This window comes from Homo sapiens, chromosome 1 (assembly GCF_000001405.40).
Source record: "Homo sapiens chromosome 1, GRCh38.p14 Primary Assembly".
Taxonomy (NCBI): Eukaryota; Metazoa; Chordata; class Mammalia; order Primates; family Hominidae; genus Homo; species Homo sapiens.
The window spans coordinates 197,493,773-197,520,943 of record NC_000001.11 but is presented as its reverse complement, the minus strand read 5'-3'; the positions used below and the strand labels follow the sequence as shown (position 1 = coordinate 197,520,943).

Below are 27,171 nucleotides of genomic sequence, written 5' to 3'. Positions count from 1 at the left end.
TCACATTCTTAGCAAGCATCCCTTGTTATACGAATGTTCACTTCATGAATTTTTACATATATTAGATGTGTACTTGACATTTTACATTTTCAGGGGAGCAAAACTTTTACAATTATGTGTGTTTAGGCCCTAGGAGCAGTCTAATTGAGGTTGTGTGACATCCAATTCCCCATTTTATTCTTAATTCTTTGTATCAGAATGATATAAAACTTTGCTTATTTTGTTTTCTCATGATGTATTTTACATCCAAAAAAATGTACCCTTGTTTTGCACAGTACTGTCTTTCAAGAGAGTTACTAATTTGCACAGCATCAACATGACTAGTGAAATAACCAGTGTTAATGTGATAGCTACACCAGGTCTGTACAGTTCAGAAACTTCTATACCTTCTTATTTGATCTCAGAATTTACCGATGTTTATAATATGTAGTTACAGTTATATTATTAGCTGACTGGACCTATTTTTTCATTATTTAGGAACATCAACAATTTGACACTACTTATCAGTATTAATGGTCATTTAATGTAAGATTTTCATCTATGATCAAAAAGTTTATCAATTATGTTCATACAATGAGGAATAAAGTTTTTATTTATAACTGCTCTACTATATGTAGTATTTTGGCATTTCACCCTATATTTTTTAAGTGTCTTGAGAAAAGGGAACATCTTTTTCATTTATTTTGTTATGCTTCACAGCATGGAAGGCAGTAGTATGCATGTAATAAGTGCTTAATGGATGTTGAAGTGAAGAGATGCTAAGAACTGAAAGAAAAATGAGATACAGCTACTGACTTTCAGGGAATACGCAGTAGCAGCTTTCAGTAGGTTCTCAATAAATATTTCTTGATTAGATGGATTTCTATTGCTCTTCATTATCAGGACCTGTAAGTCCAGAGGCTATCCCATGCCTGCCTGCCCCTACTAAATTCTCATCTCCCATACTTCCCTGCTAAATCTATGATTTCCCCCACCTTACTATTATAATCCCCCTTGAATTTAAATTTCCAGCTTTTGCCTTCTTAATATATGTCTGCCATCTAGTGATTAAGAGGATAACTGCAAGTCTTAATGGGCCCCTTAAAAAATCCCATGTACCAACATAAGCCCCAATCCACAATGCACCAATAGTTACCTTTCATTCCTTAGTATTTGCCCTGATTGTCCCACCACTGGACATTTGCACATATTGCTACATCTTCCATCATCTAACTAACCTACTAACTTTTCAGAGCTCAACTCAAATATCTTTCAGGGAAAGACTTCCCTTGACCTCCCACACTAGGTCAACTTCCTGAAGGGCTTTCATAGCAATCATAGTTTAGTACAAATTAACCGAAGTCATAATTTTTATGCTTATTTGTATGACTGTTCAATTTAATTCATGTCTCATTTACTAGAATATAATATCCATGAGGACAAGGGGCCTCTTCTTAGTTATCACTGTGCTCTAGCGTGTAGCCCAATGCCTGGCACAAAGCAGGCATTTCTTTAATCTTTGTTGAATGAATGAATATAATACCCTTCTGTGCCTCATGGACACTAAAAATGTTTATGTCAGTGAACTAGTATAGTACTTTATCCTTTATGTTTTTCTTATCAGTTCATTAATAGGTTCTCAGCAAAAACTACCTACTATGTATAAAGATATTCATTTATTCAGAAAACATTTCTGCCTGACCTAAAGAATAATTTTACAATAAAAATAAACTTATGACTCATATTTTAATTAGCTCATTAATTAATATGGAAACCCCAGTAAGGTGGTATAAAGGACAATCTGAAAAAGAGAAACACTCGAGTACTGAAATGTATATGCTGACAGATACAAAACCATAATATCCACAATGTAATAATTACATCTTCACTGGACAAAATTTACTTGCATCTCTATGGACAAGAAACATTTGCATTACCGTCAGTCTTTCACAAGTTAATTTCTATCTTTACAGAGCTATAAAAATAGAACCTATGAATGGTGCAGACCTGTATAGTATCAGAAAAACCTGGAAAAGAATGCTAGACAGCACTCAGCATTCCACTGGGAGGATAGCAATATTTTTTTTGCCCATTTCAAAGTCTTTCACAGTTTTCCCGACAGTCTCCCCACTTGTGTTCATAATAATCTCTAAGATTGTTCTTAGTCACAAAAAGAAGACTGTTCTTACTAGATTTGGCCTATTTATGTTGGGGCAACCAGAAAGCTAATTAACCATTTAAGCCTTCTTGAGTTTGCATTGTAAATCTAGAGCCATGCAGTATTGACTAGCTAAGCCTTCAGAATTTCCTTACTTATGTAAATTTTCATAAGAAACCTCAGATTGAGCCTATATAGTCTCTGCTATTTGCTATCTTGAAGCTAAGCAACTAAGCCCAAGAAAACTTGCCACCATATGGTTTACCTGAAACATCTGTAAATTAAGGTGAGTTCCTCTTGAGATTCTCCAAATTTGCTAAGGTTCCTGGTTTTCTAGAAAAAGGCCTTCCTTACCCCAATAAGGTTGGACTTTCTCAGGCAGACAGCATGTAAGTTTTCCTGGGAGGGTTTTGTGGGCATTAACTGCATAAATACAACAACCTCTTTGTTCCATTCTAGTGGATTGTCATTACTGCCACTTAAGATAAGGCGTTGGTTATACAATTTGTCCAATTATATCCTGGCAAGATAGTTGAAGACAATGAAAGATGCAGAGCACTACAAAACTTGATAACCCCCACAGGACCTTCTAGACAGCATTCATAATTCCACTGGTCAGACACCTCATAATCATTTTGCTCCTTTCAGAGTCTTTTGCAGTTTTCCTGGAACTAGTATGTATGACACAATGTGCTAGATTCTGAGGGCACAAGAGATAAATTAGCAAGGCAAGGGGTCTGCCCTCAAAAGCCTACTGTACGGTGGGAGAGAGAATGTAATGGCATATAAATTAATTGGTGAGCAAGGGAGTGTTTCCTGGAAAGATAAACTCTTGAGCCAAGGTTTGAAGGATAACTAAAAAACAAACAAACAAACAAACAAAACATGGGGAGGCTGGGGGGAAGAGCCAGGAAGAAAGAAGTTTTGGTAGCATGTCAGCCCACGTGTAGGACAGAGGCAGAAGACATTGAGAAGTATACAAGAGAAGGAGACGGTTTAGTAGTGTGGAGCAAACATCTTTATGGCAGGTGAAGCCTCCAGAGAGGCTGCCATAGCCAGATCCCTCTGTGCAAGGCAAGTAGTATGAGCTTTATCCTGAAGACTGTAAGGGGCCATTGAAGGATTTCTTTAAATAGGAGTATAGCATGATTAGGTTTGCCTTTTAAAAAGATCACTCTGTCAGCAATTTACAGACTGTAACATTCTACAAGACAGAATAATAGAGACTCAATATGGGGTAGGCAGTTACTACGTATTTTTGAATGAAAATCGATGTGTATAGACAAAGACAGTGCAAAGAGGATAAATGTAAGAGAAAAGTGTTTCTTGTAAAGGAATCATATGCAAAGGTCCTGTGCTAGGACAAATCAGGACAAATATAAGGGGTTGAAGAAGGCCATGGTGATACCTTTGGTTAGAACAAAGGGAACCCTAGGGTGCAGACCTTGAACTTGCAGGACCTAATGAATGAAAGGCAAGTGAATGTCATTTATTCCTTTTTTCTTTTCATCAGCAAATAGTTATTGAGAAACTTCTGTAAGCTGCTATTCTGTACTTCCCCCAAGTAAGGCAACAGCCACATTTAATTATTCTCTGAATTTCTAGCATCTCTTTAATCCACAAACACCCAGTAAGCACATCCTCATTCATGCTACTACTGTCTTCCATGCTAGGAAGGCATACAGTAGGGTGCAAAGGGCACAAAGAAGTATGAAATTTGAATCCCACTTATAGAGAGCTCTGAGTGTAGTGGTGCAGGCAGACACACGAGCAGATAACACAATGAGATTAATAGTACATTTGCCAAATGTTTACCAAATATGTGGCCATACAGAGGAACACTTAGCAGATAAAGCTTTCCAGAGGCTACATTTGAGCTGGATGTTGAAGGATAAGTCACTATACCCAATTGTGTTAAAATAATGTATATATTTTTTATTTTTATTGTGTGGGTTCAGATTATTTTTCTCTATCATAGTCATTTACATTTCAGGTCCTGCATAGTTAATATGCATGTTTTTAATAATGATATGTCTGTGATTTGTTAACCTAGATGAAGATGTACTGTTACTGGCTGGGTATTGGCACCCTTAAGAATACACAATATGTTTTCTGCAGTCTAAACTTACTTACTACCATTTCCCCACAAAAGACCTTTATTTTTAAGATTGTGACCAGGCCTTTTTTCCCTGTGTTGTTATGTTCCGAACATGGGGAAAACTGTCCTTTATTTCCCCTGAAAGCACTGTGCTTCAGAGTCGCAACCCACCAGAACACCATCAGCTGCTGAGCTTGTATGGACCCAGATTATCTCTACTGCTATTCTTCTCTGTCTTAAATGTCGATTACATTATGATTATCTTTCTCCTTAATTTTTTCTCTTTTTTTGTGACCTTAACACAATTATGTAGAAGTCATCAAGCAATTGACATATTCTATCACCTGTTTGGACGTTGTTATTTCTTATATATAAACTGCAGTTCCTAATGCAGGTTGATATATATTCAATGACTATTAATTAGAAGAAGCTTATTTCATATATGTATATAATTTTAAGTACATAAGTACATGTATAATAAGTATGGATAACACAAAGGTCAACACCCAAGGAAAGGAAAACAACATATTAATCAGTTTTACTTCTGTTTATAATTTAATTGTAGTGTTAAAACTTATCATAAGATATACTGTTTAACATCCCTATATAGAAATGGATAGAATGCTTGTCTAGCTAGGAAACATGAAACTAAAATGTAAATGTATCTGTGAAGCTTATATCATGACGTAGATGTTTGATTGTGGAAAAAGCAGTAGCTTCATAAAAAAAGTTGGACTTAAAAAATAGAGATGCTATAGTATATGCAGACAGCTACAGAATATAAAGGTAACTTTTGTGGAAGAAAATGAACAAGGGACTTGCAACACAATAGGGAAAGACATAAGTTCTGTTTTCTGGTTCCTAGTTTTGATAAAGTGTGTGTGCTTGGGCAAATTATATACTTCTCTTGGAATAACTCCAGATTTATTGTAGGGTCCATTAGACTTAGAGCTGTTTAGTGTCAAAGGCTTGACTTAATTTAACTTCGTAGTATCTGTGTGTATGTGAGAGTGTTTTGCAAAGTACTCTACAAATATAAACACTGTTGAGTATGTATTATCTAATCTTCCTGTATTAGTTCTTAAGTAGCAGTGATTTTAATTGATAGCAATATAAAGTCTCAGCTTCCTCATAGACTTTGTTTCAGTTTGTTTCATTTGTAAACAAAAACTTAAATGCAGGACCTGCTAGCTGGTATAAAGCCAAGCATATACAGAGCTCAGTGTAATACTAATGGCTTGTCTTCAGAAACAAAGGATTGTATCATATTTTGTGAGTTTTGGAGAGAGTACATGAAATGTATTTTTCCCACAGAAATATTGCTGTGAGTGGTGGCTTTGTTCTTAGGCTACTCTGCAGATTTCTGTTTAACTCATGTACCTTAAACTTATAGTGATAAAGTGATAGGCCCCAGTTTTAGACAGTTAGAGGCCCCAGATACATTTCTAATCCCTGAACTTATGGAAACCTCACTACACATTCCGAGTAGGGGTTATAAGAGCATATTTTACTACTCATTCCTTCCTTTTTGCCACTCACAAGCAGTGGCATAAAGGGAGTGGAGTAGGGATCAGTCCTATAGGTTCCATAAATTTGCTTACTCTTTGTGGCTGCAATAAAAGAAGACAATTATCTAGATTGGGAACTCAAAATCAGAAGGCAGAAAGTTATTCCTCTCTGGTGTCATGGTTGAAGTCTCCAAATTCAAGTTTACTGTTGTTCATTCAAAAGGATGGTTTGCAGCCATAAGCACCCATAGCACCCAGACTCGAAATTTAAATGCCATTTCCCATCTACAGAAACCAGTGTTTTTTAGAAGAAATGGCTGATTCCAGGTTTGATGCAGAAAAATTCTAAGTTGAAATGAGACATCTTATTGTGCCAAAAACAGGAAACTTACTAAACACTTCTGAGTTTATGTCAAAGGACACAGGAATCAACTTGAAAGGGCTACCACTGGTAACAGATGGGGCCATTAAAAAAAAACAACTTTATTTTGAAAATTTCAAACATATGCAGAAGGAAGGAGAAGCTTACAAAAATCCCCAGAAACCATTTATGTAGCCTTCACCAATTATCAACTCATGGCCAATCTTATTTCAGTCACAGCCTCACCTATTCTCTTTCTCCACCATTAAATTATTTTGAAATAAATACCCAAAAGCATATCATTTAATCTGGGAATATTTCAAGTTATAGCTCTAAAAGATAAGGACTATTTTAAAAACATAATCATGGTGTATTTCAAAGATGGAACAATTTGAACATCAAGAAGAAGAATTGTGGTGGGTTGAACAACATCAAGTATCTACTAATAATGGGAATTTAAAAAAAAGACCCTCATGACTTGCCTTTAGAGATTGTTAGGACACTAGCTTAGCTCATCACTCTCAAAATTGTTAAAAGGAAAGAAATCAAGGATTTGTCCTGCCTGTCCCATACATTGTATTTTGGAATAGTCAAATAGTTGATAAGGTAAAGCTCTTCTTTATAGAATGCCAGCAAATAAATATAGAAGGAATGCTCTAGAAAAGCATAATTCTTTAGCCCCTAATGAAATAGTGGATTTAGCCAGTCGTTATCATGGAATGCTAAAACCTTCAGGTCAAAAGTTGATAATGAAATGTATAATGGATCGCTTGACGAATCATACCTGAAGTCATTAATGAATCTTAGTACCACCAAAAATGAGATATTTAAACATTATGTGCCTATACATGTTACAGTAAAAATGCACATATCAATACCCATGTAATATTCTTGCCAAAATCAAAGGAAGATGAAAAAGAAACTGAGGGTAAGCTTCCAGAGGTAGCTACCAATTTATAGGAAGTGAGGACAGGATAGCATGTTAAAGGGTATGGATGGCTTATAGGAGAGGGAAGGTTGAACTGAGTCCCCTGAAAGAGACCTGAGAAACATATCTACCAAATACAATGTTAACTTTGTTGGGATTCTGGTCCAAAGAAACGTACTAAAAAATATGGGGAGAAATAGAGGAATATGAATATGGCCTGAGTACTATAAGATATTAAAGAAAAATTATTAACTTGCTAGGTATGATAATGATATTTTGGTTATGTTTTTTAAAAAGTTGTTAAAAATACATAGTGAAGTACTTCAGGTGAATCAATAGGTTGCCTGGGATTTGCTTCAAAAACTTAATGATTCAAAGTGTGACCCCCCAGATTCAGCAGTATTGACCTTACCTAAGAGCTTGTTAGAAATGCAGAAATTCAGACTCAGAAACACTATAGAACCAGAATCTACACTTTTACATTTTTATAAGTCCCTAAGCGATTTATACGCACATTAAGATTTGAGAAGCACAGCTTTAAAATACTTGGGGTGGAAGAGAGTGTGGGCTGGGGATAAAAGAAACAAAATTGGCAAATACTGTTAATTGTTGAAACTGTGTGATGGGTGCATGAGGGTATAATTGAGTATAAGTCAAGTATCCCTAAATCAGGGCCTGAAAGTCTATGTGACTGTGCATATGTATTCAATCCAGTGATCTGTTGGGTTTTTTTTTTTTTTATTGGTTTGAGAAGTTAGTAAGTGTTGAGATAAATATACCTTATTGCTTCCCTTTCTTCCTGTCCCAGTTTGTCAAGTTATTGGATAATATTCAAAAACCCTGAATGCATATTTCTTGCAAAAGTGTTTCTTATGAAATCACATTGTTGCTTTAAAATTTGCTAAAGAGACTTATTTTAAACTGCTAATGCCAATTTATTGTCAATCTCTCTCTCCAGGCACGCTTAAAAAGGCCTCTTAAGAGCCTTGATGGTGCTCTATATGATGATGAAGATGATGATGACATTGAAAGAGCAAGCAAGTAAGTAATGGATTTTGGTGTCCTATTAAGTGGAATGGCTTAACAGCAGAAGTTTTTGGTGATAAAGGGTATTTCAAAGAGTATGCACTCTTAGAGCTCAGATGTTGCCCTTTTACAGTGTTCTTCAGCAAAAGGACCCAGTGCTCCTGGAATGTTATGGGGGATATCTTGGGACAGGAAACTAAGATGGACCTTAAATATCTTGTTCTTGGAAAGCAATAATGTCTACAGAGATATCTGGGATAGTGTTAAAGGGGCAATAGAAGCCCATCTAAATTAGGCTCTTACTCATTCTGAAGAGAGGAAGGTTAAATATCAGGAATGGTGATAATAGTCAATAGAAAGAAATGGAATTGAGGGTACAGTAGACTTAAGTCTATGGTGATATCAGAAGATGAAAATTTAATAAAAAGTGTTAAAAATTAATTTTAATATAAGGGAAATAATATATGTTTAGCTTCTTACAATTGATGTATGACAATGACAAAATGAACATTCTTTTTTCTTCATTAACTATATCTCTGTCTATGTAAAGGAATATGCATTCTCCTCTAAAATAAGTGATTAAATAAAGGAAAACCATATTAAATATTGAAAGTGAATTTAGGCTATAGCAGACTTTCCAAGTAGTTCAGTCTAATATTCCTAAAGTAAAGGTCCCAAATTCCACAGAATTAAACTGTGAAAAGCCCTGCTTCTACTTTCAGTTTCATAAGGTACCGTAAACTTTTTATTTGTTCTTAATGCATGCACAAAATATTTCCATATTGGAATTAGTATACACATCACGGTAAAGAATTTGGTGATGAACTAATTATTGATTTTGTTGTTAACTCTCTCATTAATGTAATGTAACTGGTGAGAGATTACTTACATGCAGCAAATATGGTTATTTACCTACTACTGCGTGTTTTATTTTTCTTCAGGTTATCTTCTGAAGATGGTGAAGAAGCTTCTGCTTATCTCTATGAGAGTGATGACTCTGTTGAAACAAGAGTGAAGACTCCTTACTCAGGTGAAATGGACTTACTAGGAGAGATTCTTGATACATTGAGCACACACAGCTCAGATCAGGGGAAGCTGGCAGCTGCAAAGAGCTTGGATTTCTTTAGATCAATGGATGACATTGATTACAAACCTACGGTTAGTAGATTTTTTTTTACTTATAAAATTAGAAGAAAATATTCTTGCCTTGGCTGTGATTACTGGATCTTATACTCTTTGTTGGTAGAAGCATTTAACCTCTAAGTAGGTAAGGGTCAAAACTTCAAAAATATGATAAAATTTAATCACTAGAAATTATTTCTATTATTAAAATTCTAGTATTTTCCCTTTCATTTATCTAGTTCTAGTGGTTATTGTCATTAATTGAAATTATTTTGTCAAGCAATAATGTTTTCTTGCAACCTAATTTTATACTTGTCTCTGGGGAATTTTTAAAATGTGAAATGTTTTCACTTTTTCCCCATATTTCCTGAGTTTTCAAAAAAACTTCAGTAAATGTATTCATTCAAATCATTTTTCTTACCCAAAAATGAACATGATTTTATTTTTTAACATTATTTTATGCAAATTTAACTGAATGCTTAAAAACAGCAGAGATAGAAGTATGAGTAATGACAATCCTGTTCTGATAGTAAGTGACTTCAGAACTTGGCATTAATTATATAATCTAGTTTGAATTTGTTAGGTGACAGCTGCAAGGCAGTGGAAACCAAAGTCCATTCCATTTCATCCCTGTTAATAGAGCCATTTGGAAATGTTTAAAATTGACTCTCAATGCTGTATTTTCTCTGGGAGGAACTTAACGCTATTAACATTTATTTCAAAAGAGAAAAAAGAACTAAATTAATGCTTATTAAAAGTTTTCTGAGTTTGTTGTTTCTTCTTTTTTTCAGAATAAATCTAATGCTCCTAGTGAGAATAACCTGGCTTTCCTCTGTGGTGGTTCTGGTGACCAAGCAGAGTGGAATCTTGGGCAAGACGATAGTGCCCTCCATGGCAAACACCTCCCTCCATCTCCTAGGAAGCGGGTTTCCTCTAGTGGTTTGACAGATTCTCTGTTTATCCTGAAAGAGGAAAACAGTAACAAGCACCTCGGTGCTGACAATGTGAGTGACCCTACTTCAGGACTGGATTTCCAACTCACTTCCCCTGAAGTTTCCCAGACTGATAAAGGAAAAACAGAAAAGAGGGAAACACTAAGCCAGATTTCAGATGATCTGCTTATACCCGGTCTTGGGCGGCATTCATCGACTTTTGTTCCTTGGGAGAAAGAAGGGAAAGAAGCCAAAGAGACTTCAGAAGATATTGGACTGCTCCATGAAGTAGTGTCATTATGTCATATGACATCTGACTTCCAACAAAGCTTGAACATTTCAGACAAAAACACAAATGGAAACCAAACTTAAATCTTGCATCCAAGCTTCTATGGAGACATTTTGAGATTCAATGCAATCTGTATAATAAACAGAATTATTTGTAGGAATGGCAACTCATACTATTTAAATTTTTTTTTGCATTTGCAACATTTTTCTCACTTGTTCATTTCGAGGATATATGAAATGCATTGATTTTTAAATATAAAGCGAATTCTACTGTGCTTTTAAATCAGGTACTAGTGTGTATGTATGTTTAAAGTATGTATTGACCATGAGATTTCCCAGTGTTTGGTGCTTAATGCCGTTTATTTTATTTAAGCTAAGAATGCATATGTAACCCATGCACATAACCAGTAGCTACTATACTAATCTGGTTGAGCATGAACTGATCAAGATATCAAAACTTATCAAAACTAGCCTGAAGCTGATGAAACTGTTAACCCACTAATTGCCTTAATCTTAAAGCTGTTTTTTAAGCATACTTAAATAATGTATGAAAGTATGTATAAAGTTTGAAGGATAAGTTATTAGTGTTCTGCAGAGCAATAATGCCTTTTTCTATTCATCAAATCAAGGTCAAAATTCATCTTTTCAAGATTAAAAAGCTCTCTTAATGGAAATATTTAATTTGCTTATATAAAGCACTATAGCCATGTTTTCCAAAAAGTATAAAAATATACACTTACCTTTCATTCAGTGAAATATAGGAAGTGCTGAATTACAATGTGAAGTTAATGACTTCTGTTTACAAATGAGACACTCTAACGAGTTTTCAGTCTCTCTGTATGCCTTTGCTATTTAGGGGTCCACCCCAAGAAAGCCAAATACAACATAAACCGTCCTGACAAAAAAAAAAAAAAAAATCTTTTTTTAACTAATAATTCTCTATCAAAATGCTTCATATCATCATCTCAAATTTACTTTTTAAAATAATTGACTTTGTATTTTAGAAGTTTTAGATTTACAGAAAAATTGCAAAGATAGTACAGAGAGTTCCCATCTACCCCTGTTACTAACATCTTACGTTACTATGGTACATCTGCCCCAATTAGTGAACCAATATTGATATTCCATACTTTATTCAGATTTTCTTAGTTTTCTCCTAATATCCATTTTCCACATCAAGATCCTATTCAGAATACCACACTATATTGAGTTGGAATGTCTCCTTAGGCTCCTCTTGCCTGTGACAGTTTCTTAGACTTTCCTTATTTTTGATGACATTGACAGCTTTGAAGAGTACTGTCAGATAAATTGTAGCATGCTCCTCTCTTGGAGTTTGTTGGGTATTTTTTTCATGATTAGACTGGGATTGTGGGTTTTGAGGAGATGATCACAGAAGTAAAGTGCCATTTTCATCAGGTCATATCAAGGGTACGTACTGTCAACATGATTTGTGAATGCTGACAGGGACCTTGATAACCTGGCTGAGGTAGCGTTTGTCACTCTAAAGTTCTTCCTGCCCTTTCCATGCTGTCATTTTTGGAAGGAAGTCACTACATGCAGGAGTGAGGAGTCATAATTCCCCTTCTTTAGGGCAGAGAAGTATCTACATAAATAACTGGGAATTCTGTATAGAAAATTTGTTTCTTCTTTCTCAAATTCACTGTTGAGCTTTGGAATTCATCTGAGAAGGAATCATGTACTAATTACTTCATGATAGACTAGATTACCAGGCACAATCAGGGAAAAAAGCAGTGATAGTATGGTTAAATTGTTATTAGCATTTTCAGTATATCCACTTTATACATCCCCAATCATGATTTTTTTTACATTTCTTTTTAGAAAAGATGTTCAAGAAATCATTAAAGAACCCCAATAAGACTATATTCTAAATATTTATTGAAAGAATATAATTTCAGCTAAAATCCTAGAAGAGGGTTTGAAATAATTTAAAGAAAATGACCAAGTTTTTTTAAAACCTACGTTTCAAAATCTAAATGGATATGTGTTATTTGGGACACTTATTCATTATGATTATATAAGAAGACAATTCTTGTTTCCCTTATAAGTATGGACTGTATACATTAAGGAAAACAATGTTTAATCCTTATTTTTTAATACAGAAGTCTCAAGGTTCTTGTCAAATTTTGCCTTTATAAGCTTATTACAAAATTACAACTTACTTTACTGAAGTTTATAATGGAAGAAGTCCATATAGCAAAAGAGCTGTTTTAAATCAGAAGGAAAAAAGGTTACTCTGGTTGTTAATCTGCTTGGCAAATATTCCTTCATAATTTGTGAAAAGAATGCAAATCAGCATTTTAATATGAATTTTGAAATGAGGTATGGTTTTTTGTTTGTTTTTTTCAGAACTCAGTCTGAAAAACAACTGTGAGTGTAGCATGGGTCAAATTTGGTTTTTAGTCCATTTGCTTTATCAACATCACGGCTTCAGAAATCCAAATTTTGTTCTACTTTTCAGCCACCTTTCAAGGTGTTTGGTTATAATACTGTGTTGCTTTGAGGATATTTAGCCACTCATAAATAATTGTCTCAAGGTATTTAAAAGTGATTTGTGCCTTATTTTAATGCAAAATTAGCAGTTTTATTCTATTTTAAAAACAAAGGCAGAAAAACAATTCTGCATGTTATTCTTTAAAAACATCCAGAATAATACTACCAAGTATTTGTATTTCAAACCAGTAAAATTTTGAATATTCAAAGTCTGCTCTTAAACTTAGACTTCCTAGTATTATGGTGGTTATAGTGAGAATGAAATTAAACTGGGTGAGTTCCGAAATAAAGGAAAGTGTTATATTCTACAGTGCCCATATTTTCTATGGTAACTAAATCAAATATTTGTAAGTTCCTCTGCTTTTTGAAATTATTTTTCAAAGAAGCAACACCTGTTATACAACAGAATTGTATAAACTAAAAAGACTTTTGGCCTTGGTACATAGTCTTTATCTGGCCTGCAATGGAGTCATGGTTCTTTCTGAATCCCACTCTCACTTTTTTCTTTTTACCCTTAGATATTGCATCCGTGGTATTTCAGGGGTATAGAGAAATAATATTGGAATTTAGGAGCTATTTTTTTAAGTGAAAATATTACTAAGTGGTATCTTTTGATGATTACCTACTTTAATGTGTCTTAGAAAAGCACCAAAACATAGCATGATTATTTTTTCAGTTAATTAAAATTAGTTAATAACATGTTCATTTAAAAACTATTCATTGACTTTTTGTACCAGTCATATGCAGGGTACAGTAACTGAGGATATGGGAAATAAAATAACTGACATAGTCCCTGCTCTGAAGGAACAAAGGAAAAGGAATTGCAAATTTTTATTAAAATAATAATAATAATAATAATAATAATAATAATAATAATAATAATGTGTTTTGCCTGGAAGTTATTAGCTGAGATTCTAACACACAAAAAGTTCAAAAAAAAAGAACAAAAACTGGCTGCTTAATTTAAAGCATGCTCTAAGTATGAACCATAGTATCATTTCTAATTTCATTAACTTTCTCAATTATTATGCTAAGTATATTATGCTGCTAAGATACCCACATTTAAGGGGCAGATTTAGAGACTCTTTTAGAAACTGAGTGTCTTTATCTTATTATCAGATAACCAGGCTGCACAGGGCTCTCTATAATGGAATGATGCTCCTTTTCAATACTTAGAGCCACTGTACTCAGTTTAGGAGTAACTGAAGGTGTGGATGCATGTTAATGGGAATCCAATTTTTACTATTTTTATATGAATAACAGCGTTCTGTAGAAACAGTCTCTCCCTTCTAAATAAAAACTATGTGACTGCTGTTACTAGTGCTATTCTATGCGAATATCCTAATAATAGGATTCAGGAATTCTAATGAATTGTTTCTTAATTAAGGTGAACAAGTAGACTCCTGATCAAGAGGAGAACACTGTGAATGTCTCATAATCAATAGACCTTCATTCTCTTGTAGAAAATGTGGATTTTCAGGAAAAGACTGATTATTTTCATGAATAAATTTTCTTATACAAATTCCATTTTGTTTGACATAAAAGACCCTGAATCTTAAGATATTTGTAAATCAGAATATTTAAGAATGTAAAATGAATCCCCAAATCTAGTTTCCTCCAAAGCACTTCTTAATGTAGGAAATAGTTTTTACAAACCCTATGTCAGTACTAATGTTCCTGGGTCAAACCCAGTAATATTGTTAGTGTATGTTGTTACACCTTATTTAAGAGGCAGAGTGGTTTTGAGCAAGTCAGTTAACGTGATTTGATGAAGAAATAAGGAATTATATACATTTAGACAGAAGAATATTTTATTTTGAAAATAGGATTTCGTGCAATAATTTTTCTTGCATAACTTAGTTCATATAAATATGTACATCTGTTTTTCTGGCAGATGCCTTAAGGTCATGTTTTTCAGTATTTGAGTAAATCTGTATGTAGCAATGTTCTCATTGATTTCAGAAAAAAATATATTCTTTATATTGTTGCCAGGAGAAATGTTTTTGTTTATTTAAAATTATTATGGATATTGTGTTGTTGTATCATAACTAACTGCCTCAGCAACAATAAATATGCAATAAGAAAATCCTGTACCTTAGATTAGATTGACAATACTGTTACTTTAAAAGAAATATATACGGTACAAATTGCTGATTCTACATGTGTACATTTAACAGATACTCAGTTCTGCACCACCTAAATCAAAATGGCATTTGTATGCTGATGATTACATATGTGGATTGTAGTATCCTTTGTGATGAATCTTTGATAAGATTTATAAAGGGCATTGCCAATACTTTTTGACTGTGTAAATTAATTTTTTGTATGATGTACAGTTTGTTTAATCTTAGAGCTTCTATAGATTTCTACTTTATTATACTTGAATGAGGCAGAAAAGCACTGTGGAAAATCTGTAGCTCTGGATGCAACATGCAGACATACCAAAAAAATAATAATAAAGCAAGGTACTGAAGAGCAATGTTAACAGAATGCTTTATATCCAGAATGCTATGTTTTTTTCAAGCCACATTTTAGTTGAATGAAGTAAAGTTATTCAATCTTTTATTTTAAAATATTGGAAAGTCACAAATGATTACTTCTTTGATATGATGAACCTATAAGTCTATTCATCTCTGTTATTTCATTTCTCAAATGTGAGCCTTGTTGAGGTCCATTATCAAATCTACACTTTGGTTGATTATATGATGTTTAGGACAAGGCAGAATTTAAAACCTGCATGTTTAGTGCATCACATGTCAAGTCACCATCCTTCTGACAGTGTAACTTCCATAACGTTATTTTGAGAGCCATTTAATAATCATATTTGAAAAAGTGGATTTCTTGAGTCTGTTGTAGTTTAGTACTTACAGCAGTGCCTAAAACAGCAACTAATATGAACTGCCTGAGTCCTACAACATAAATGCATAAAGCTTTTTTATGTAAAAGCCACAGGAGGGGTTCAAAATTGAACTTTTCCAAAGTTTATTTCTCTTGCGTTAGATGAAAAACTATTTAAAAGGACTGAAAACCCTGAGCTTTTTGCTCGTCTTGGTAGCAGATATCTGTAAAAACCTACCCAGAATTGTGATTTTACTTCATTGTTCTTGCATCCTTGAGGCTACAGTATAAATCATCTCCAAACTTGACTACTATTGGGAAGATGTGTATAAAAGCATCGCTTTGGGAATTTTTTTAAAAATATGCAAAAATAAATATTGAATAAAATCTACATTACCATAAAACACCCAAAAATGCAGTTCTAAAATAAAATTGGTCACAATTAAACTTTGCATGGTGATGACTCTTCTTTTACAATTGCCCAGTTATCCCCCAATAGTGTTCTAGCTAGACTGCTGTGAGAACCCTAATACCTTTATCTCTGAGCTTTGTAACTGCTGCAGTGTAAATTTAAGCCTGCATCTTTCTGACAGGCCTACCTGAGAGGTATACTTTATTTTATTCTTTTATGTATAGTCAACGGATTTTATTAGGCTCTAAAGTCATAGGAGAATTGTTAAGTAATTATAATGTCACTAAGAATATAAGAGTTGTACTATCCAAGTCAAACAACTGTGTTTATTGACCCCCACTTAAGGTTTAAGGACAGAGATGAAATGTAGTCAAGTGTACATGAACAATGTTCCAGGGACCAGAAAGATGAGCTTCTCATCCAAGAGCTCTGATGGTTTCACCTAAAGCAAAGGTCAAATTCCTATTGAAATAAGCACAACGTTTCCCTCTGGGTGCAGAATATCTGGGATTAATATGCTGAACCTTTCTTATTTATATAGAAGAAGCAAAAGCCTGACAATAAGAAAAGAAATATTATCCCTGCAAGCCTAAGATTCCGCTATTTTTGTTGATTTTGATTGTGAAAACTTTGCCTGCCACCATCAAAGGGATTATTAGTCTCATTACCCTCAGTGTCTCTGTATGAGAGGCCTGGTCACATCTTCATTTTATAGATGCAGAAAAAAAATCTCAGCTTGTGTTTACATACAAATAAAATAACCTACGTAGAGTAGTATTATGGTAGTAGGTCTGGGAATTTCCTTTCCTAGAAGTAACAATGAATTATTATATATGCATACAATTTTGTACATATATGGAAAATAGTGCATTAATAGCACAAAAATAAGAGTATATTGTGGAAGGTTCCAGATGAATAAAAATTCCCCAGATTCTGCCATTGATTTGGCCTTTTTACTTCATGCCCCCAAAGCGTTATTTCTCTAAAATAAGTGTCTTCTTAGAATGAATTATTCAATATTTATTGAAAAACTTCTATGTATATAGCAGCTGCAATATAGTTTGAAAGAGAAAATATTCCTAAGTATCTAATTTAGTGTGAATTCATGGTGGTTTGGTGTGTACAACTGCTTTAGTTTGGATTTGTGTCCCTGCCCAAGTCTCATGTCGAAATGTAATCCTCAGTGTTGGAGGAGAGGCCTGGTGGGAGGTGACTGGATCATGGGGGCAGATTTCCCCCTTGCAGTTCTTGTGATGGTGAGAGAGTTCTCATGAGATTTGGTTGTTTAAAAGTGTATAGCACCTCCCACTTCTCTCTCTCCCTCCTTCTGGTCATGTAAGACGTGCCTACTTCCCCTTGCCTTCTGCCATTATTGTAAGTTTCCTGAGGCCTCCCCAGCCATGCTTCCTGTACAGCCTGTAGAACTGTGACTCAGTTAACCTCTTTTCTTTATAAATTACCCAGTCTCAGGTAGTTCTTCATAGCAATGCAAGAACAGTCGAATACAACAACCACAAAATATAATTATAGAATCTTAGACTTTTATCTCATCCACAGGCTCCCAAACCTAGTCTTTCATTAGATTTACCTGGAGATCTTTTTCTTAAAGAAAAAAATACAGAAAACACACACAGACACACACACACAAACACACACATGCACACAAACACAAAACAAATGCCTGGACCATGCTCCTAGAGTTTCTGGAATAGGTACTTAATTAGTCTTTTGTAGAGTTGAGGAAACCAAGATAGAAAAAGGATAAATTATATCCTTAATGTCTCATAGCATGAAATGACCAAGCTGGGATTTGAACCCCACAGCTGGGCTTTAGCCCCCTTGCTATTAGACAGAAGTACAGGGCCAAACTCAAATGGCGTGACTATCATAAATTCCCTACAGAACTTTCTTTTCTATCTCAACTTTCTCCTACAAGTATTGGACAATCCTTTTTTGACAAAATATTCTATGCAAGTTTCTTATTTGCTTGTTTGTTTTTATCTTGAGTACAGAATTTCCTAAATCTTTTTGGGAGATTGCATTAATGTTCAGTCCCTCCCTCCCTCCCTTCCTTCCTTCTTTCCTTCCTTCTTCCTTCCTTCCTTCCTCTTCTTCCTTCCTTCCTCTTTCTCTTTCTTTCCTTCTCCACACTTTCCAGCATAGTTTATAATCTCATCTCAAATAATCTGTCTTATATATACATGTTCTCCATGGCATCTATCTCCTCTCTCTTTCTCTTAATTGTATTTGCGCATATTAGTTGGTGGAGTGGGGAGTTTTACCTGGATTATTGTATAACTATATTAAAAACTATAGGAGCATGCTTGAGGACATACAAAGGCATAACTTGTGAATTTTTTCATATGGAGCCATTATTGACACTTAAAGCTGCTGAGAACATCTAAAGATCTCTTGCAGAATATCCACAGATGTCATCTACAAAGTTGTTTTTCTCATGTTCAAGAGCAGCACTTAAACTACTTATTCTTCAGTTTTGTTATTTTATAATCAACCTACTTTAAATATGGAGTGTATTTCAGATTTATGTGTTTTTTAGTAACACCATTTAAACATTAATTGTAAATAATGTATTTAAAATATACAAATTACTTTTTGTAACTCCAGTTCTAATTTAGGGACTAATTTTAAGATATCTATTTATCTATCTATCATCTATCTATCTATCATCTATTTCCAGATATATATCCATTAGATATCTATCTTATGAATATGTACATATGTAATCTTATGAATATATATCTAGATATATAATATATATCTAGATATAAATAGCACACATCTTATGAATACATATATATAATATATAACATTCATTTAGTATTTAATTCTGTTTTCTCCAAAATCTAATACTTAAAATATATTTTTGAAAAAGAGCTAAGTTTTCTTAGATTTGATAAACGTCCAAGTTGGATACAACCCATTAGGCAAAAATCCCAACTTGTAAAACAGATGTTAGGGAGAAATGCTCTGCTTTTCTGCTTTACCTTATAGGTGTGTGTGTGTGTGTGTGTGTGTGTGTGTATATGTGTATATATATATATATGTGTGTGTGTGTGTATATGTAAATATATATGTAAATATATATGTAAATATATATATGACACGCTTGTTGACAAACTGTTAAAAATCATTTGAATTTCTAAGCAAATTAGAATTGATAAGACTTGTAATTGGTATCTTTTAAAAACCTTCTACTAGAAAAATGTAACCAATATTTCTTATCAATAATTATAGATAAGACATGGGTGCTCATACACATATTTTGGGCAAAGGATAATTTTGTATAAAAATAAGGGAATACTGTTCTTAGGGATTGTTGTGGGGTCTCAAAATTAATTCTTAATGTGCAATTATAAGGTGAACTAAAAGTCCTTGGGTGTTTTGATTTCAAGATTTTTATAGGATTATGAAGTTGCTTTCCTGACACCCACAACTATTGTTTTATGTGAAGATGCTTTTCCTTTCAAGGTGCATCTTTCATATGTTTTCAAATTAGCTTTATTAAAATGTGGTTTACATTCATCACAATTCACCCATTTCATAACTATAATTCAGTGAATGTTGACAATTACGTAGTCATGCAACCACCACTACATCAAGACTGAGAACAGTTCCTCACCCTAAAAGTTATTTTGTGCTCTTTGCAGCTGCCTCTCCTCTCAATCCTAATCCCTGGCCATCTCTGATATGTTTTTACTATAGTTTCGCCTTTTCAAGAATTTTACATAAATGAATTTTTTCACTTCACATGGTGGTATTGTCAATCCTTTTAATTTCAGCCATTCTGGTTTGTGTGTAGTGGTATCTCCTTTTGGTTTTAATTTTTATTTTTCTTATGACCGAAGATCATGAGAATCTTTTCATGTGCTTATTGGCAATTCATAGATCTTCTTTGGAGAAGAGTATATTCAACTATTTTGTGCATTTTGTATTGTTTCTCTTATTACTGACTTGTAAAAATTTGGATTTTTTAAAAAAATATTCTGGATAAAAGTCCCCGATACATGTTTTGCAAACCTTTTCTCCAGTTTGTGGCTTGCCTTTTCATTTTCCTGACAGTGTCTACAAAAAAGTTTTTAATTTGAGAATGTCTATCAGTTTTATTTTTCATCATTTATGCTTTTTGTTTTCTAAAAAATTTTTACCTAAACAGAATGTCACTTGACTTTTGAATGTGAATGTAACCTTGTACTCCTAGGATCAATTCAACTTAATCATAGTGTATTATTTTAAAAAATCTATTGCTGCATTCAATTTTCGGATACCTTGTTAAGAATTGTGGTGTCTACATTTATGAGAAATATTGGTGTGTAGTTTTCTTTAGTGCTGTTACAATTTTAGTATCGGAGCTAACCTAAATCTCATCGAATGATTTGGGAAATTTTTCTCCCCTTTTAGTTTCTGAACTATTTTGTGTAGAATTATTATTATTTTTTCATTAAGTGTTTGGTTTAGCTCAACAGTGCAGCCATCTGGGCATGGAATTTTCTTTAAGGGAAAGTTATAAGCTATGAATTCAATTACTTAGCAGATAGAGGACTCTTCAGCTCATCTCTTCATTTTCAGGTGAGCTTTGATGATTTATATCTATCAAGAAATTTGTCTAATTTAAGTTTTAAAATTTACTTGCATTAAGTTGTTCAAAATATGATTTTACCATTCTTTTAATATCTGTTGGGTATGTGACTATATTCCCTCTTTTATTTCTGATATTAATAATTTGTGTCTAACTTTGGGTTTCATTGGTTTTCTCAATTTTTAAATCAGTTTCTATATCACTTCTTTATATTCTTATCATTTTGTTTTATTGAGGTAAAATTTACTTAGCATATAAACCTAACCATGTTAGAGTGTGCAATTCAGTGGCATTTAGTACATTAGTGTTGTGCAAGCTCACCTTTATTTAGTTCTGAAATATTTTCATCACCCCAAAAGGAAACTATTCATTAAATAGTCACTTTCACTCTCTCTCCTAGGGGCTTAACATTTTGATTTCCCTGCTTCTGCTTATTTTAGGTTTAATCTTTTCTTTTTCTTTTGTCTTAAGGAGATACTGATATTTAACCTTTCTTCTTCTGCCAGATCAAAATACATATGTTCTTTTAACATTTCTCCTTTGACTTATGGGTTATTTGGAAGTGTGTTGTTTACTTTCCTATCATTTGGAGATCTTTTCAAATGTCATTCTGTTATTAATTTCTAATTTAATTAGATTATGTAAGAACATATTATGCATGATTTAAATCCTTTTAAATATATTAAGGCTTGTTTTATGATGCATATTTTGTGTGCATTGAAAAAAGTATATATATTCTTTTGTGTTCTATAAATAATGACATCCATTTGATTGATAATGTTCAAGTCATTCATATCATTTTTAATTTTTTTGTCTACATGTTCTATCAGTTGAGAGCAGTGTTGAAATTTCCAAGTAGAATTGTAAAATTTTCTATTTCTCCTTTGAGCTCTATCAATTTTTGCTTTATAAAGCTTGAAGTTCTTTTATTAAGGCTGTTCACACTTTTGATTTTACCCTCATTGATAAATTGCCCTGTTTATCACTATGAAATTTTCCTCTTTATCCAAGGTAATATTCCTTATTTTAAAAATATTTCTAATGTAATTATAGCCAACATCACTCTTATTTTGATTGTGTTTGCATGGTATACGATTGCCCTTTTACATTCAAGCAATCTGTGCCATTATATTTAAAGAAGGTTTTTTGTATACAGAATTTCACTGAGTTTTCCATTTTTGTCCAACCTGATGATCTTTGCCTTTCAATTGCATTGTTTAGGTCTTTCACATTTCATATAATCATTGATATGCATTGGAATAAATTCACTATACTTATATTTGTTTTGTATTTGTACCATTTATTATTTATTTATTTTTTCCTATCTTCTGCCTCTTTTGGATTACTTGAATGATTCTCATGATTATACTTTGTCATCACTATGGCTTATATTATATCGCTCTTTAAAATTTTATTTGGTGTTTGCTCTCAGGTTTAAAATACATATCATAAACTTATCATGATCTTCCTTTAAAAATATATCACTTCATATACAGTGTAAAAACCTGATAGTGATATACATCCAGTTTTCCACTCTGTCCTTGGTATTTCTGTCTTATATATATCTAAATATCTTGTAAATTGTAGAATACAGTATTATTTTTTGAAAATTGTTTGAAACTGTTACCTTTAAAGATTAATAAGTGAAAAAGACTGTCTTTCATATTTACCCACACAATTACCATTTCTGGCACTCTGCATTCCTTTCTGTAGATGTGTATTTGCATATGCATCATTTCTCTTTATACCTGAAGAACATCCTTTACTGTCTCTTGTAGTGCAAATTTGCTGGCAATAGATTCTCTGCATTTCTGTTATTTTGAAAAATTATTTTTTGCATTTTTTTTTTACAGGTTAATGGTTTTTTTCTTACAGTGCTTTAATATTGTCATTCTACAGTCTTCTGGACTGCATAGATTCTGACAAGAAATCTGCTGTAATTCATAACTTTGTTCCTTATAAATAGTGTCTTTTATCTTTGGCTGCTTTTCAGTTTCTCGTGATCGTTGATTAACCATATCCAGTATATTTTTAAATTTCAGATGTTATACTTCTCCTCCTGAAATTCGATCTGGGTTTGTGTGTATGTGTGTGTGTGTGTCTTCCATGTATTTTATCATTATATCATCTCCAAATTTTTGTAATAGCTGTTTTATGGTCCTTGTCTGCAAACTGTATCATCTCTGTTATTTCTGGGCCTGTTTCTATTGATTTTTAAAATTTGACAATGGGACATATTATCCTGCTTTTTTGCATGTCTAGTAAGTTTTGATGGGATGCCAAATATTCTTGGATGCCAGATTTCATTGTATTGCTTTAAATAGTCTTGGCATTTTATTCTGGGATGCAGTTAAATTCCTTACAAATGAGATTTACCTTTTAAAAGCTTGCTTTAAGCTTTATTACTATGGGTCCAGAGTGGTCTTTATTGTGAAGCTAGCTTAGGCCTTTTACTGAGTCAGTATCTATTGGAAAACTCTTCTCAGTACCCCCATGTTAGGAGGTCTTTCCCCTCAGATGAAAAACTAAACTATTCCCAACTGTCTGACAACTGGAAATTGTTCTGTTTACACTTTTCTCATAAGTCTTTATGACCTGGAGTAGTTTCTTCACACATATTTGTGGATCTAAGGCAAAGACTCATTGGGACCTCTCTGTAGATATCTGTAACAATCCTCTCTCTACTCTGCTTCGCACATTCTAGCTGCCATGGCCTCTTCAAATACAATCTCTGTCTCTTCAGCTCAGTGAGAATACTAGGCTTTGAAAGGGTCCCCCTCACATTGTTGCAGCCTGATAACTGTGATAACTGCTGCCTCTAGGCAGTAAGTCCATGCAATTGTAGAACTTACTTTACTCATTTCTCTTTTCTCATGGATCAAAGTCCTTGCTTTGTGTTGTCTTACATCTGAAACCAATGTTTCATATATTCTGTCTGAATTTCCTGTTGTTATAGTGGTAGGGCAATCAGCATGGCAATTAGTCTTTTTTTTTTTTTTTTTTTTTTTTGAGATGGAGTCTCGCTTTTGTTGCCCAGGCTGGAGTGCAATGGCGTGATCTCAGCTCACTGCACCCTCCACCTCCCAGGTTCAAGCAATTCTCCTGCCTCAGCCTCCAGAGTAGCTGGGATTACAGGTGCCCGCCATCATGTCAGGCTAATTTTTGCCTTTTTAGTAGAGATGGGGGTTTCAGCATGTTGGCCAAGCTGGTCTCGAACTCCTGAACGCAGGTGATCCGCCCGCCTCAGCCTCCCAAAATTCTAGGAATACAGGTGTGAGCCACCGCGCCCGGCCTGCAATTAGTCTTTTGTGAGTGGGATCTGACATAGTTTGGAGGTTTGTCCCCTCAAAATCTTATGTTGAAATGTGATCCCCAATGTTGGAGGTGGGGCCTAGTGGGAGGTGATCAGGTCATGAGGGCGCGTCCCTTATGAGCAGCTTGGTGCCCTCTCCATGGTAATGAGTGAGTTCTCTTCTATGAGTTCATGTAAGATGTAGTTGTTAAAAAGAGTCTGGGACTTCCTCCCCTCTTCCTTTCTTGCTCCCTCTTTGCTTTCCATTATGATTGAAAACTTCCTGAGGCTCTCCCCAGAAGCAGATGCTGGTGCCATGCTTCCTGTACAGCCTGCAGAACGATGAGCCAAATAACTCCCTTTTCTTTATAAATTACTCAGCCTCAGGTATTTCTTTATAGTAGTGCAAAATGAACTAATACAGTATCAGAAATCTCTCCCAGTTTAAAAAGAAAGGTTCATTCTAAAATTTTCTGGCAAAAATGTATTCCTTAAGTTCATCATTGACATAAAGTCTAGTTATAAACATTCCATTTCCATGTAACGTTAGGAAGGCTAATGCACATGTCAACATTTTTCCTTACTGACCTTCTTTTCTCCCACTCCATACAGATTCCATACAAACTATACTCAAAGTCACGAATAAATCATGCTTTTTTTTTTTTTGTAGCATGGAAGAATCTAATGACTTTCAACATTAGGGCAAGAGTGTTAGATAAAACATACCAAAAATATTTAAAGTATTTGCTATGTCTCCCAAAACGAATAATTGAGGCTTCAAAACAAACAAACAAACCAAATCGGTGAGTTAACGAGGTGGCAGGTGGTAAGTATGGGTATAGTTCCTATGAGTTAATATCAAATTAATATCCTCAGGGATTCGGCAGATACAGCATTTGATCCTCAAGAGGTATGAAGGAGAAATTAAGACCTCTGTGTCAAGACCCTTGATGGAATGCCTAGTCTATTAAGGTGGGACTAGAAGCATTCCAATCTCTGACCCAGAAAACTAACAAAGAAAGCTTTTGTCTGCCTAGGGATCTGGATGGAAAAATAAACCTAGAAACAAACAAACAGAGAATTCTGTATACAAAAATCAAACTTCAGTATTTGCTTCATGTGGTTTTGTAGTAGATTATAGTGTACATAAATTCTGTTTATTATGCACATAGCATAGTACTCCCAAACTAATAAATTACAATAAAATGTAGTCGACAACAAGTGGCAACTCTGAAACCCCCTATAGAAGTAAAGAAAAGTCACTCTGTAGGTGCACTTTAAAATTCAGAGTACATCGGACCACCACAGCAAACGGCTCCCACGGAAGATGATTTTTAAAAATAAATCATGTGATAAAATGTTGCTCCTTGAAAACTAGAAAAATAAAGCAACTTGGATTGACTATACAATAAACATAAAATTGAAGAAAAATATTCTCATTATTTAGACAAGATGGAATTCAAAAAGGCAGTGTAGATAAGCAAGCAGTTTTCTGAATATGCCAAGTTGAATGAAGCTACAACTGCAGATAATTATAACTTCACTTTTCCCCATATTCTTGGTAAAGATTCCATACCCTCTTGGTATAATTTCTATTGTGACAGTTCTCTGTGGTTTTGTGACTGTTTACCTATTTGTGCTTTCCCTAAACCCTGCTTCACAGGTAGCTCAAATATTTTATTTGTGTCTGTTGCTCCTAGATGCTCTGCTAGGAATCAGAGGAAAAAAATTAAGTGAGTAACTGATTTTTATGTACATGAATTAATCTGATATCCACATTGACCTTGATGGCCTTGATGGCAAGTCTCCTATGACTCTATTATGACTTATTCCCTTAAAAACACAAATTTTGTTTTGTTTATCTTTGAATCTCCAGCTCTTAATATAACATCAGGTTCATAGCAGACACTCAATAGCTTGGTGTTGAAATTGCATGGAATACCACTAGTTCAAGATGGCAGAGCTTTGGAAGGATCTGTTTACTCTCCATGAATATGATAAATAAATTATCCATCCTTTGGAAATGGCTTACTATACATCACATCAGAAATGCAAAACCAAAGCCAAAAGGAATACTGTTGAGTTCAATAATAGTAAAATTGAAAGTCTCAATTAAAACTAACTCTGAAGTTACGCTGAAAGTGTGAAAGAAACACAGGCAAGTAATCAGGAACTTCTTTCTAAAGCTCCAAATCCTGGAGGAAGTTAATTCTCTAGTGTTTTGTGCATGAATTATGGGTAAAGCTTCTCAAATTAAATTATAGGGAAGCATTATATGCACTTATAAGAGCTACACAAACCAAAGGATCAATATTGTCTGGCTTCTCCTGATTTATTGGAAGAGTATTTTCAATGTGAAACTTTTTATCCAATCATAATCTCTTTCTTTAAGTAATGTTGTCAGTGAATAAAGTGCAGTGTTAACAGTAAAGATCATTATGTATTCTAAAATTCAAAGTGAAAAGTATATACAAGCAACTAACATTTAGTTTGTTCTATATATTTAATTATTTTTAAAATGTTAATCTGGCAGGAAAGAATTTAGAGGTCATTTAAAACTAGATGTATTTAAATTATTTAATAGAATCCTGGCCAAATTTGACCCTTGGCACATTATAAGGCAGATCATGATATTATCTGGATATGCTGGATACTTTGAATACCATAATGAGCAATGTTGGAGTTTCAATCTAATTAGTGGCATCTTGTTTTGTAATTTATCTTGGGTGACCTTGCTTACAGGGTGAACTTCTTTTTTTTTTTTTTAACTTTCTCATCCTGTCACATTTTAAATGTCACCGGTATTTATGTAATTGTCTTCTCCTACCCTCTCTTTTCAATCCATTATTACCTCCCTCCACAACAGAACATGTCTTTTAGAGTTCTGCTGCTCTTTTGACCTTGATGGTGGCAAAAAATCTTTCAAGATAATCAACTTCTTTCAGAAATTTCTATGTCCTCTGTTTCGTGTAGTATTCTCTGCTACCAACATTTTTTTCTCCCAGGTTAAGATTTTAGATGATATGTTTGATTTCAATTAATTGTATTGTTCTTGGCACAAATGCAAGATATTTCATGATTTTTAAAATCATTCTAATGTCTTTTAGATTGTCAAAACACA

The 27,171-nt window shown here is 33.8% G+C and overlaps 1 protein-coding gene across 12 annotated transcripts in view; it reads left to right on the top strand.

Annotated features, from left to right (window-relative positions):
- The window catches only part of DENND1B (DENN domain containing 1B), a 277,403-nt gene extending 261,207 nt beyond the window's left edge, over positions 1–16,196 (top strand). For all 12 annotated transcript variants that reach the window (NR_125340.2, XM_011509248.3, XM_047447711.1 and 9 more), the window contains 3 exons: positions 7,991–8,073; positions 9,000–9,216; positions 9,972–16,196. Coding sequence is in view for 11 of the 12 variants with exons in the window: in XM_011509248.3 (XP_011507550.1) it covers positions 7,991–8,073; positions 9,000–9,216; positions 9,972–10,484 (813 nt within the window). In the remaining variant the exon portion in view is untranslated. The remainder of the gene's footprint in view (positions 1–7,990; positions 8,074–8,999; positions 9,217–9,971) is intronic.
- Positions 16,197–27,171: the final 10,975 nt, after the last annotated feature.